At 41.4% G+C, this 14884-nt stretch overlaps 1 protein-coding gene across 16 annotated transcripts in view, besides 2 other annotated features; it reads left to right on the plus strand.

Moving 5' to 3' along the window:
* Positions 1-14884, plus strand: part of RASGRP3 (RAS guanyl releasing protein 3) — a 128384-nt gene that overhangs the window by 81939 nt on the left and 31561 nt on the right. For all 16 annotated transcript variants that reach the window (NM_001349975.2, NM_170672.3, NM_001349978.2 and 13 more), the window contains 6 exons: positions 1666-1728; positions 2267-2398; positions 3669-3816; positions 5593-5766; positions 6146-6262; positions 8851-9126. In NM_001349975.2, the coding sequence (NP_001336904.1) occupies positions 1666-1728; positions 2267-2398; positions 3669-3816; positions 5593-5766; positions 6146-6262; positions 8851-9126 (910 nt within the window). The remainder of the gene's footprint in view (positions 1-1665; positions 1729-2266; positions 2399-3668; positions 3817-5592; positions 5767-6145; positions 6263-8850; positions 9127-14884) is intronic.
* Positions 12434-12553: a silencer, noted in NCBI's record as "silent region_11348". NCBI's record gives its function as "represses an Ori minimal core promoter by ATAC-STARR-seq in GM12878 lymphoblastoid cells {active_cell/tissue: GM12878}" and the evidence as "EXISTENCE:reporter gene assay evidence [ECO:0000049][PMID:35858748]".
* Positions 12564-12643: a silencer, noted in NCBI's record as "silent region_11349". NCBI's record gives its function as "represses an Ori minimal core promoter by ATAC-STARR-seq in GM12878 lymphoblastoid cells {active_cell/tissue: GM12878}" and the evidence as "EXISTENCE:reporter gene assay evidence [ECO:0000049][PMID:35858748]".

Genomic DNA, 14884 nt, shown 5'->3' on the forward strand with positions numbered 1-14884 from the left:
GTAACACAATGGTGGGTATTTGTGTATCTAAACATAGAAAAGGTGCAGTAAAAATATGGTATAAAAGATAAAAAGTGGTACACCTGTATAGGGTGCTTATCATGAATGGAGCTTGCAAGACTGGAAGCCGCTCAGGGTGAGTCAGTGAGTGAGTGGAGAGTGAATGTGAAGGCCTAGGACATTAGTGTACAATATTGTAGACTTTATAGACACTATACACTTAGGCTACACCAAATTATAAAAATATTTTTCTTTCCTCAATAATAAATTAACCTTAGCTTACTGTAACTTTTATACTTTATAAACCTTTAAAAACTTTTTAGTCCTTTTGTAATATACACCTTAAAACACAAATATATTGCACTGCTGTAAAAAATATTTTCTTTCTTAATATCTTTATTCTACAAACTTACTCTATTTAAATTTTTTTTTTTACTTTTTAAACTTTTTTCGTTAAAAGCAAAGACAGAAACACACGCATTAGCCTAGGTTTAGGTTTACACAGGCTCAGGATCATCAATATCACTGTCTTCCACCTCTATCTCTTGTTCCCCTGGAAGGTGTCTGCAAGAGCAGTAACAGGCATGGAGCTGGTCATCTCCTATGATAACAATCCCTTCTTCTGGAATAGGTCCTGAAGAACCTGCTGAGGCTGTTTTACAGTTAACTTTTTAATTTTTTAAGTAAAAGGAGTACTCTAAAATTACAACAAAAATAATATAGTAAATACATAAACCAATAACAGTCATTTATTCTCAAGTATCATATACTATACATAACTGTGCACACTAGACTTTTATATGACTCACACAACAGCAGGTTTGTTTACACCACCATCACTACAAACACATGAGTAATGCATTGGGTTACAACATTATGCTGGCTACCATGTCACCAGGCAATAGGAATTTTTCAATCCCACTATAATCTTATTGGACCACTGTCACATATGCAGTCCTTCATTGACTGAAACGTTGTTATGTGGTGCATAACTGTATAAGGCATTAATCCTAAATACAAAATCTTTTTGGTTAAAATAGTGTTTCTCGGCCAGGCGCGGTGGCTCACACCTGTAATCCCAGCACTTTGGGAGGCCGAGGTGGGCGGATCACAAGGTCAGGAGATCAAGACCATCCTGGCTAACACGGCGAAACCCCGTCTCTACTAAAAATACAAAAAATTAGCCAGGCATGTTGGCGGGTTCCCACTACTAGGGAGGCTGAGGCAGGAGAGTGGTGTGAACCCGGGAGGCAGAGCTTGCAGTGAACCGAGATCGTGCCACTGCACTCCAGCCTGGGCAACAGAGCGAGACTCCATCTCAAAACAATGTAGTGTTTCTCTGTACTACCAACTTTAATTATGTATAGTTGCCAGACTATTTGTAATTACAGTTGGCAGTTATTGGTTAATAAGTGTGGAGGAAGGCAAAACTAATCCTGTAAGTGGCTTCTTCTTCAGACCAAAAAAATGCATTCCAGAGCTATAATAAATCAAGTTTCAATTGTTCAGTGTGGAAGTCATCAGAGGCCACTTCTCTCCGTATTTGAGTGTCTATATAACCCCAGCATGGTCCTCTTATTAGGAATTGGTATACATTGAGGGCACAGCTGCAGGGGTGTGCAAAGGAAAGGAGGTGCAAGGATTTTTTTTCTTTAACTGGTTTACGTATCGAAATGCCACTGGAGAAAGCTGCAATGAATTTCGATTAAAGATCTGCTACTTCATGAGGTAAATATATTTACAAATTTAATTTCTTGTAGTTTCTGGTTCTGGAATCGTGGACAATTTCCTTTTCCCCAAGCTGCAGACCTAGTTTGACAACAGACTCTACTCTGATACCCCTCCCACCAACTTTGTTAAAATTGGCTCTCCTCTGTTGGGTGGGGTGGGGGGAACTATCTTTTGGACTAGAGATCAAGTAGTAGTAAATGTGATTACGGAATGAAACTAGCTCTTAGAAAGGGTGGATTTATTTTCTTCTATTCCCTCACCACACCCATTCCCATCTACTCACCATGAATTGAAGGAAGGGTTTCCTCTCAACTGAAAGAGAGGCTATGAGTGGGAGCGGTTTTAGATTGAAGGAGGGCAGAGAGAGGCTCCATGTGATGGATGGGGTTTTGGAGACAGGAGATGGCTAATTTGAAGTGTGGTCCTGGATGGTCCTGGACTTGGTGTTAAATGTAGTCTGTAAAACGGTACAATCGTTTCCATAGATAACCAACTTGCAATCTTCCAGCTGCCAAAAATATTTGATGCCTTTCAGGTACTGGATTCTGAAGTTTCCTGCAGAGTTTAATTTGGATCTTGGTTTGATTCGTATGACTGAGGAATTTCGGGAAGTAGCTAGTCAACTAGGATATGAAAAACACGTCAGCCTCATCGACATATCCAGCATGTAAGAGTGGCACCGACGTCTTTCACACCCAATAAGTCCACCACTTAGGGGAGGAAGTAGTGATCACCCCACTTGTTCTGAGTCCATCCCACTCCTGAATCCAGGTTTGCTTCTGTGAGGAAAGCCTTGCTGCAGTGAGCGCAAGCCGTATGGGACACAGCTCATCTCTCCAAGCTTCAGTTTTTTTTATTTGTAAAATGTGGACGATACCTTTCTCATGAGATTATTATGAACATTCAATAAGGACACAAGATAGCACATGAAAGGATTTGGCATGCAATAGATGCTCAGTGTTAGTTACTGAGTCTGAATCTACTTAATGTCTCTTACACCTTCACTGATTAAAGTGTGGTCTGCAGACCAGCAGCATTGGCGTTACCTGGGAGCTCATTAGGAATGCAGCCTCTAGGCCCCACCTTAAACCTGAATTGGAATCTGCACTTTAAAGATCCCCAAGTGATTCACATGCAAGCTTGAGAAGCTCTGTACCATGGTGCTGCTGAGGTTGGCCTCAGAACAACAGCCTTATGGTGGTTGACCATAGATGTGCCAGGAGCTGGTTAGCTCAGTTATTAGGTAACCGGTGCAATTAGGCCACTTTCATATCAACTAGGTAACTTTGCACAGGGAAGACTATTTGATGATCCTAAATATGGCTATCCATCTTGCAAATGTCTGTTCTTGTGTGTTACGTATTCATAGTCTACTCTGTTTTCCACTGTCGATTACTATTGAATACTTCTTCAATAGTAATCAATAGTGAATGATCCAGGAATTATAAGGGATGTTTGGTGAAAATACATATTATTCAGGATCATTCCTAATAAGTCAGAACCTCTGGCAGCGAGGCCCAGGCCTCTGTCTTTATAACAAGCTTTTCAGATAGTTCATGTTATACTAAAGTATGAGAACCACAGCTTCTAGTGGTTTCCATGTGTCTTAAATCACCACCTATATCCTGATAAACTCCCAAATTTATATACTAGCCCCGACCTTTCCTGTATGATCCAGACCTTGCCGGTCACAAAGACACTAAGTAAGAAATTCTGGATGGTTCAGTGCAAAACCTACCCTGTCTGGAAAAACAACTGCAAGTTTATGTTCTGTTGGCAACTGGTCAGTGGTTTTCTCTTCCAATATGAAAGACAGGGCATGTATTTTGCACAAGTCCCTGGAAGCAAGCCAAGAGTTGCAGAGTCAGTAGGTTAATAACTTCCATTGAGTGAAATGGGCTTTCAACACATTGACCGGACTCACTCTTCTTTTATAGTCCTTCCTATGACTGGATGAGAAGAGTCACACAGAGGAAAAAAGTATCCAAGAAGGGAAAAGCCTGTCTGCTGTTTGACCATCTGGAGCCCATTGAATTGGCTGAGCACCTCACTTTTCTGGAGCATAAATCTTTTAGAAGGATCTCAGTAAGAAACTTGACATTTATTCTTCCAAGGATAACAACCACCATGCCAACTTTCCCAAGAGCTGCATTTTCATACTCTGAAGTGTTGGCAGCTTCTATCACTGTGCTCTGCTGGAGAAGTGCCCTTAATTCACAGGAACAATCCCTTTTAACCAAAGATAAATATTATCCTGTCTTTATTTTATGGCTCAGGAGCTATATTTCTGTCGCTATTTTCAATGTCTCCTTTCATAGGATTAAAGCGTGATTTTTCTAAACAGTCAGTGGAGATTTAACCATTCAAGGTTGATTTAGCTCCATTGACTTCTCCCAAGTGAACATGTTTTGCTAGGCCCTTCGTTTTTGGGAAAAAATATTTAGTTAGGTTCGGATTTGTATAAATGGCTAATTATGGGTATAGGTTGAAAATAGGAATTGTAGACTTTAAGGAGAATCTCAACATCAGGTTGTTTCTTTCCCAGAGATAGAGATCCTGAATTAAACTTTTCTTTCCTACTCATCTTGATGGAGCCTCATTCCTTCTCTAACTCCCCCTTTTCTTTCTCTGGTCTGTGATTTCTTAGCCTCCTGCTCTCTCTCCTCCCGTTATGGTAAACATTTTCCACACTGGTTCACAATCAGCCAGCCACTTTGCTTTGTCTCGCCAAGCTGTGGGGAAGTCGCTCCTCCTCCTTTTCCAAGGTGTCAGAGAATGAATTACATTATTGCGTGCAAAGAAGACTGTCTTGGTTAGAAGCATGAATTTCTGAAAGACTGATTCTTTCACTAAGTAATCCTACTTGGAGAGGACCTTAACAATTCCCCACAGGCAGGCCATGGGAGTCCCCTGCACAGTTTATATGATAGAAAGCTCTTATGTATTTTTTGACATCCATGCTAACATTCTGAAAATGTGTTTGCCTTGCTAAAGAGCAGCCTTACTTCAATTAATTTTTTTTCTTCTGTCTTCTTTTTCTTGAAACAACTTTACAACTGATGCTAACTTGAAATAATTATATTTACGTTCATTTCCTCGTCTTTATTGTATACCGTTATATCTTTAACTTGCCTGATTGGAATCACCAGCAGTGTGTTAAAAATGGAGATTCTTGGCCGGGCGCGCCTTTAATCCCAGCACTTTGGGAGGCCAAGGTGGGCAGATCATGAGGTCAAGAGATCGAGACCTTCCTGGCCAACGTGGTGAAACCCCATCTCTACTAAAAATACTAAAAAATTTAGCCAGGTGTGGCAGCTTGCACCTGTAGTCCCAGCTACTCAGGAGGCTGAGGCAGGAGAATTGCTTGAACCTGGGAGGCGGAGATTGCAGTGAGCCGAGATCGCGCCACTGCACTCCAGCCTGGCAATAGAGCGACAGTCGGTTAAAAAAAAAAAAAAAAGGAGATTCTTAGGTTTTTCTTCTGAAGATAGTGATCATTTACACCTAGAGTGTTCCCAGGAACCAGCATTTTACCAAGTGCCACAGGTGAATCTTATCACCTAGTAAATTTTGAACTCATTGGAATACAACTTTGAATCTTGCCTCTTTCTCCTCCCACCAAAGCTGTGATGTGTAGTAGTGGGTGTCTTTGCGTGGGGTGAGTAGTGGGGTTTGAAAAGCAGCAAAATAACATTTTAAAGACACATGTATATTCAAACTTTTAGGATGCCATTGTAAATGTGAAATAAAAGAAATTGTGTTGTTACGAAACAATATCTCACCTTTTCTATGCAATATTCTAATTTTTGATTTTACAAAGGCTCTATTATAATTCAGAGTCTCTGAATCTTCCTTTCCTAGTTCACTGATTACCAAAGCTATGTCATCCATGGCTGCCTGGAGAATAATCCAACCTTGGAAAGATCGATTGCTTTATTTAATGGAATCTCTAAGTGGGTCCAGTTGATGGTTCTTAGCAAACCAACCCCCCAGCAAAGGGCAGAAGTCATCACAAAGTTTATCAATGTTGCAAAGGTATGTCTGGTAATCAGACTGGGTTCTTGAGTTCTAGATGTTCGTTCACTCTGTTGAGAAAAGTCATTGAGGAAATGTGGCGTTCACAGTATAAGGGCATCGGACAACTAAACTACTCGCTGATATCTAATGAACAAATCGTATTTTTGTCATGCAAGAAGATTGCTTTCAGAAAGCAATGCTTAGAAGCATTTAATGTAGCTATTTCTCTGTGAAATAATAGATATATTTCTCTGATTCTATTTGTGCTTCATTTTAAATTGATGTAATGTTTTCCTTAGCTTCTTGTTATTAAAATTGTGCATAAATTTACTTGTAATTCAGAAAGTTTAGAATAATTTGAAAATCCTTAAAAAGCATTGATGCATTTTTATTGCAGAAGCTCCTTCAGCTCAAAAATTTTAACACCCTGATGGCAGTGGTGGGAGGCCTCAGTCATAGTTCCATTTCACGCCTCAAAGAGACCCATTCTCATCTTTCTTCAGAAGTTACAAAGGTATAGTAGACTTGATCCTAATCAAAAGTAAAAAAATGCATTTGTAAATTGTTCAGGTTTAGTATACGCCTAACAAATGTCACTCAGAGTGGGAAAGTTTTCCTCTTAAACCAGTGGTAGGTTATAAATGGGGACAAAGTAGAAAGGGAATAACCACACCAGCTGAGTCCACCTGGAAAAACAGGTTGGAGGTGGTGGTAAGTGTCCTAGGAAGAATGCTTTGACATACCATTAGAATACTGTAGTGGTGGCCGGGCACGGTGGCTCACACCTGTAATCCCAGTACTTTGGGAGGCTGAGGCGGGCGGATCACAAGGTCAGGAGATCTATACCATCCTGGCTAACGTGGTGAAACCCCGTCTCTACTAAAAATACAAAAAAAATTAGCCGGGTGTGGTGGCAGGCACCTGTAGTCCCAGTTACTGGGGAGGCTGAGGCAGGAGAATGGCATGAACCTGGGAGGCAGAGCTTGCAGTGAGCCGAGATCACCCCACTGCACTCCAACCTGGGCGATAGAGCGAGACTCCATCTCAAAAAAAAAAAAACCAAAAAAAAAAAAAAAAACTCAACATATTGTAGTGGTAAATATTCAACAGGTATCTATTTGGTCCTACTATGTGATAGGCATTGTGATACACAAGGTAAATAAGACAGAAATAGTTCCTACCCTACCTCCTGAAATAAAGTCATTGAATGACTATTCATAACACTGTGTTGGGCACATCAGAAGATAGAAAGGGGAAGACATAGGCCTTGTATAGAAATCCTCAGATTTATAACTGAATTGTCATGAATATATATATATATATTAGAAACAGTGATCATTTTCCAAACTGAGCGTTTCTGCCACATTTATTTTCATGACATGATAGTTGTTTTTCTTCTTGAGCAAAAAGGAGCATTTCATCCTTATGAAAAGATTCTCATATAAGAGTGCACTTTGCTACTTCAATAAGGACACTTTTAGCTGTGAGTTTAAAAGAAAAAGAAAAAAACTTCTACAGCAATTAAACAATAAGCAAATGTATCGTCCATCAGGCGTGGTGGCTCACACCTGTAATCTCAGCACTTTGGGAGGTGGAGGTGGGAGGATTGCTTGAAGCCAGGAGTTCGACACCAGCCTGGGTAACATAGCTAGATCCTGTCTCTACAAAAAAAAAAAAAAAAAAAAAAAAAAAACTAGCCAGGTGTGGCAGTGTGTGCCTGTAGTCCCAGCTATTTGGGAGGCTGAGGTGGAATGATCACTTGAGCCCAGGAGTTTGAGGCTGCAGTGAGCCAGGATCATACCACTGCACTCCAGCCTGGGGGACATACCTGGAAGTCCAGAGACAGAGCAGGCACGGTCTGATCAGACCTCTGACTCAGGTGCTCCGCCCGCCTCTGAATATCGGAGAGTTTTGTTTTTTTGTTTGTTTCATCAAACTGTTTCTCTCCTAATTGGGCTGTATGTAGCAACCGAAAAATTACGTTCCCTTGTTCATGAAAGTTGAAGATAGGGAAGACTACTCACTTCAACTCTTCACCCATAGAATTAAAGACCTTTTGAGCCAACTCAGGTCTTAGGTCCATCCCTGGACCAATAACAGTTGCCAGAGTAATACAATGTACTGATTGGCTTAACCCTGAGTTCCTGAACTAATCACAAACTAGAAGGATGCAATTACTCTGATGATAAATCAAAACCCATTCCTGGTTCTGGAAATGGAAACAGACTCTGTCTGAGTCACAAGGGCTGCTTTGGAGAGAGCAGACTAATCAAAATTGGGGTCTACTAGAAAGGTCTGGTTGCTGTGAAGCAACCAACGATAACTTGTCCATATAAACAACAGGAAGTAAGCCACAGAAGTACCGTTGTTTGACCTCAAGCTCTGTACTCATTCCAAGTGTAATGGAACTTATTAGGTAATAAGTGTTTCATTTTCTTTTAGCTTTGTACCAGATCTCAAGTAAAAAGCAAAAACAAATTTTAAATGTTGTGAAGAATAAGAATCTGATAGAAGTTTATAGAGGCTTGGAGAACTACCAGTGCATCTTTTAAAATTATGTATCGGAACTTCTCTTACTTACAGAGAAAGAAACTGAGGCCCAAAAAAGTGAAGTGACTTGCTCAAGGTCACCCTTCTAGTTAGGCAGAATATAGAACCACAGCTATCTCACACCGCATTGCAACTTTCTCTACCCCATACTGTCCCAAATTAACCTCGAGTAATATCTGGAATGCAACTTTCTTGGAACAAATAACAATTTTAATATTCGACATGCTTGAATTTGCGGACAGTAATATTTTCATAAATTTCCAAACACTTAAGTATACATGATGCCATTTAATATCCCAACATCCCTAGTAGGTAGGCAGACATGTAGGCTATTTCCATTTTATAGCAAAATGGAACAGGCTGCTCAATGCATAGCCAGGCCTAGTACTTTTTCTAACTTTCTTTTTCCTGATTCATATTTCCCTGCAGCAACATTGGTGCAAGTGATACTTTTCTCAGTAGCTGAGGAATTTCCTAGCCACACATTGCAGGGCCCGGGGGTGTGCAGGAGGGAAAGTTGTTTGAAAATTCTACTTTTCCATCTGTTCCCAGAACTGGAATGAAATGACAGAGTTGGTCTCCTCCAACGGCAATTACTGCAATTACCGCAAGGCCTTTGCCGACTGCGATGGCTTCAAAATCCCCATCCTTGGAGTACACTTGAAAGACTTGATAGCTGTCCATGTCATTTTCCCAGACTGGACAGAGGAGAACAAAGTGAACATTGTGAAAATGCACCAGCTCTCCGTTACCCTGAGTGAACTAGTCTCCCTGCAGAATGCCTCTCACCACTTAGAACCCAACATGGATTTGATCAACCTGCTCACGGTGAGTTCCAAGGAGCCAAGTTTGGGCTCAATAATTCTTCTGCACCTTTCTTTCCAGGAGACACAGGAAGATGTGTGCCAGCAATTCATTCTGGGGGAAAATTGGTTTCAGAGTCAATAGATGAGAGGAAATCTCATAGAACAAGGGAAAAGGAGCCCTGATTAATATTTTCCATAACCAGCAAATCTTGGGGCAAAGAAATCTACCTTTGTTCGGAGGGGCCCAGTCTCTGCCATATGACTCCACTTCTGGAGTTCTTAGGCTCCTCCAGACTGTGCCTCAGCCCTCACTCTCCTTCACCACATTCATCCAACTTATCACATCCTTCTGTATGTCCTCCAGTCATCTGCTCCTCTTTATCCTCACTGCACTGCTTTGGCTGAAGCCTGGAGTAATGCAAGGACCTTATCTGTGATCCCCCTGTTCCCATTATGAACCTCCCAAACCTCCAGGATGTAGTTTACAGTCTGGCATTCGAGGTTCTTGAAGACTCAGTCTCCAACCTTCTTTGCCATCACCCTATCCCACATTTTACCAGCCTTTGAGAAATATTGAACTTCTTATACTTTCCACCCCATGAAATGCTGTCTTCTGCTTCCTGGCCTTTGGACTTGCTTGGAGAATCCCATCCCAACCCATCCATGTGGCAAGTTCAATTTCAAAAGCCTGTCTTTCTGGAGCATTCTCTCTCCCCCTCCATAGCAGTCATGCATCTGTCACATCACCCTGGCACTTTATATTTTCCTTAACTATAGGAGGTATCACTCTTTATTCGATTTTTATCTGTTTATCTGCCTTACATATCATATGCCTAGCACCTCTCACAGTTCCTGGCATATTTGGGAACTCAATAAATGAACTGCATGCTGTATTTAGGAATGATGTGGCTTAGACAAAAGAAGTTCACCTACCACTCATAGTTTTTTGGCATTTGTGGCACACATGTTTAGCTGGTCTCTGCATCCTAGAACTTTTAGACACAACGGTGTATAGAAGAGAACATTTCCCACTGGCTGCTGCTTTGTGGGAAGAAGAGGCATAACAAAATTCACTCACCCTTCCTTAAACAAAAGTAGAGGTGCAACTTCCCTGTTTGGGTTTATAACACTGTAGCATCTGAAACTCAGCTGCAATACTGAATTAACTGTTTTCCTTGTATGGCTGTGGAAAATGAAACCAATAACTCCTCTTAATTTCTGAGAGCCTAAATCCCCTAGGTCTGCTGCATTGGAATAGGAGTGTGGTTTCTCGCCCTTCTCACAAACTGTTCCTAGACCATGTAATTGTTTACCAAAGAATAAACCCCTAAGTGTAGGCAATAATGCAGCTATACCCTTCAAATAAAGCAGAAGTGGCCAACACACAGAAACACAGATCTCTTAAAGTTGAGTTTTTGTGACAAATAGTAAATATACAGACTTTCTCTACTGGGGGCAGGGAACGCAACTCACAATAATCCAAGCACCTGCATTTATTAATGATTTGCCATGTAAATCTGTTTCCATGAATAAGTGATCAGAGTTGCAGCCCCAGTCAGACTGCAGACCTACAGCCACAGGTGATGTCTGCAGACCAGTCTCCATGTGGAGCCTAGGCTTCCAGTGTCTGTGTCCAAGCTGTCCACGATGTCAAGCATAACTTCAGAGAGCAGGTGCCTACCCTTGGGCAATTTCTCATAGAGCTAAAAGATAATAATGGGGTAGGGAAATTAATTTGAGTTATAAATGAAACAAGCAATGTTATGACAAAGAAATATTTAGAGGAATATTGAAGGATTTTCAATAAAATTTCAGGAGTACTGGCTGGGCGTGGTGGCTCAAGCCTGTAATTCCAGCACTTTGGGAGGCCAAGGCGGGCAGATCACAAGGTCAGGAGATCGAGACCATCCTGGCTAACACGGTGAAACGCCATCTCTACTAAAAATACAAAAAAATTAGCTTGGCGTGGTGGCAGGTGCCTGTAGTCCCAGCTATTTGGGAGGCTGAGGCAGAAGAATGGCGTGAATCCGGGAGGTGGAGCTTGCAGCGAGCCGAGATGGTGCCACTGCACTGGGCGACAGAGCGAGACTCCATCTCAAAAAAAAAAAAATTCAGGAGTACAAATGAAAAAAATCTGAACTCTAGAAATAAAGGCTAAGAAAAAAATTCCTTTTTGCTGGGGAGGAATCTTTCTCTCTCTGTCTCATATTGAAGGAAAACTTAGAAGCCATCAAGCACTGTATTTAGTAACTGCAGTGTTGGGTAGCATAGTGTAGTGGCAAAATCCTAGATGTGAGACCTTGCTTTCAGCCTTCCCTCAGCAGTTGCTTGGTTTTGTCTCCTTGCTAACAGCCTTGACTTTGGCTTTTTTTAAACAAGGGTTTTATGCTCATTTGTGAGGTCTTTTCCAGCTCTAAACTTCTAGGATTCTAGATGTAAGAACCAGTGGAGCCTTAAGAATAAGGAACCAAGAGTCAACTTGATTCTGTAGTACCAGCCCAATAGCTCATCACGATAGCACAATCCTGTGTATGAGTCACCAAACTTCCAGTCAAGATCCTTTCTCTGTCCCCACAGCCAAGAAGAAAGTTTAGTGCATAGCAGTATACATTCCTTCTTCCTGACTCCTGAGGATTAATCTCCTCAACATGAGGACTGAGGAGGCTTCCATCTTGTGGTCACTAGAGCCCAGCGGCCATTTTAGGAAGCACACACATATCTGGATTAGACCCATATGGCTGACCACAGCTGCCCCAATGCATGCGAAGGCATCCACATGCCAGCATTGGAAGGGGTGATTCATTTTGCCTCAGGACTCTAAATTTTCTCCTGAAGTGATTGTTTTCATCTAAACATGGCTCCAGCTGAGGTCGCCTGTATATGATGGACAGCCCTGGAGGACAGAAAAAGAGAACCCTTATGTTCATCAACAATTATGAAATGCCTACTCCGTGTGGTAGGCTGTAGGGCAGTGCTTTAACTTTCTGTAATAGTTAATTACAGTTTTCACAGCACTTTTCACATACGTTTCCTCAGTAAATTCTCACACATACCCTGCAATGCAGCCTGGGCAGGGCTGTGAGTGTAACATCACCCCTGCCCCTTCCTTTTTTTTTTTTTTTTTTTTTTTTAAACTAAAGAAGAAACTGAGATTTACAAAGGACAGGGAGCAAACTTCTGCATCCCAGCCTGGGCCGGGTTCCCCTCAAATGGACATTTGCTCTCTCATGTGGGCACACTGCTGACATCTCATTTATTTCACATCTGTAAAAATTAATTAATACTGCTCTCTCCTCCTCTTCATGATGTGCAGTAAAGGAAGTAATTACAGGACAAAATCTGTGAGGGTGGGGGCTATGTTTGTCATTTTTGTCATTGTATCCTTGGCCCCTTGAATACGGCACCAGGCCTGTTGAGGGAAGGAGGACCACGCCACCAAACTGTTGGGATTTGTATTGTTCCTTCCTTTCAGGGAATATCTGGAGAGGACATTTGCCTTACATCCCAATTCACGTAACCAGGAGTTTTAAAAGCTGATGTTTCTGTTGCGTGGGGTATGAAATAGTTTGAATCTTTTCATGGTATTTTTAGCCCTATCAGTTACTTTTACCATTTTGAGTACATGCAAATAACTGGAAAGCCCCTGTATTTTTAATTTTAGTCTCATTTTTAAAAAAGAAGAAGAAGAATAAGAAGAGTTTCAAAAATGGTGAGTAGAGGCAGTCTGATGTCCAGGTGTGTTTTATTTTATGATAAACAGTCAAGCCAATGTAGATCCTAATGAAGACTGAATCTGCAACCAACTTTGCTGAAAGGATAGGTTGGTAAATGCAACAACTTGAAACAGTGGATAAGAACATTTGTCAGAAAAAAACAGCCAGGCTCAAAATATGTTTGACAAGAGCAAATGTTCTTGAAATTCCATTGATGAGCAGCCCATATTATAAAAACGTTGTGCAGAAAGTAGAACAGATCACCCTTTGGGCAGGTCCGTAAAGCCCAGAGGAGATCTGAGAGAGGAAGTAGAATCGTGACTGGGAAAGAAGAGATGCTAGGAGTAACCCCGAGGGCAGCTTTACATTCACGGATAAGCACAGTGGCATTTGACTCGTGCATTGACTGGAAGCCAAACCCTGCATTTGTGACCTTCTAAACAAACCTTAGTCAGACACCCATTAGCTCATTTCATCTTCACCATCGTTCTTGGAGGCAGCTATTATTTATGATTCCCATTTCACAGATCAGGAGACTGAGACTCAGGAAGGTTAACTGCATGCCCAGGCTCACACTACTAATAAGCAGAGAGTGAGTATTTGGAGACTACCAAAACATTTCCATCGCTGAGCCAGTTATCCATTTGACACATGGAAATACCCAAGGGTGTTCTGGTTCTCTTGAGAGAGCATCTCCTTGCCTTACTGTGTGGCTTATTTGGATTCTTGGTTGGCTGTGGTAGTGCTTCTGTCATCTCATCTCCAGCAGATGCTGGTGCCAGTCATCACAGGACTTGGAAGCTGAGTCAGGAGGAAGGGAACATGCTCCTCCAAGTCTGCACTAACTCCTGATAACAGGGAATTCAGAAGGAAGGAGTCACTTGGTTTTCTCTCTTTATTTATGTAACCTTCACAGTGCGAGGCTTCAAGCTGGGACTCAGGGTACAGAGGTGCAAAAGACAGATGTGCTGCCCACTTTCATGAGGCTTAGAGCCTGGCACAGTTGTCTGTTGTGGGAATTACAAAATAGTAGGCAACTGCCCACGGCTGATGTATTTTATTTGGCCCATACGGAATCCTAAACTTTTGTCGTTGTTAGTTCCCAGTGTTTGAAAATTGGGATAGTTTATCTAAAACTCCAGATTTCTGGCTTCTCTTAACAAATCAGAAGACTTGGCAACTCAAGGTCCAACGTTAGGCTGACAGCAATTTGTCATCACTGAGCAGTGATGTTCATCACAAACCGCACCTCTCCCTGTGACTTCCCTAACAGAGAGTGGTGTCAGGTCCCACTTATCATCACACATTTTTTTTTATTGTGGCGCTAAGGGGAAAGATCCCTAAATAAATTACATCTGCAAAGACTCTGTTTTCCAAATAAGACGTTTCTATCAAAATGTACCTTTTACGCATCCTACTTGGCTCTTTTATATAATGGTATGGCTCCCAAAGGCATTTGTTTGTGACATGCGGATGTTTCCTTTCCTGTAAAAAGGCAGAGCCTGGGAGGTGGGAGTGATTACTGTTCAGGGGAAGGTGAATACGATGTCTCTTCTTTGTAAGCAGGATTGTCATGATCTTGAAATGATACTGGGGAGATTTTACAGTTAAGTCGGTTTTATTTTGTTTAGAAAAAAAACTTTGTGACAAAGTGCAGGTAAAAGAAACGTGACCTGATTATGAAGTCCTTAATTTAAATGTTATATTCAAGCAGCTGCTAGAACAGTGACTAGAACAATCCCTGACACATAGTAGATTACTGATAAATATTTGTTGAATGAATGATTTGAAAATGAAATTTTATGACACCAACTTCATTTTTAAAGGAAGTAGAACAGGAAAAGGAATCTTTGAAAACATCTTCGCCTCTGAGTTTTCTCTGGCTTCCTCCTTCTTTCTTTTCCCCCACACTCCACCTCATACACATGTTAGATAAAATATGTTAAAGAAAACTTTTCATTCCTACATGGTCAAAGAAGGGAGCCCGCACTGGTTATGTTCATGGCCAGGGAAGTGATGTGATTCATTGAGTGTCCTAGCTTTAAAGGACTAGGTGAGAATGGTTCA

Source organism: Homo sapiens, chromosome 2 (genome assembly GCF_000001405.40).
Source record: "Homo sapiens chromosome 2, GRCh38.p14 Primary Assembly".
NCBI lineage: Eukaryota > Metazoa > Chordata > Mammalia > Primates > Hominidae > Homo > Homo sapiens.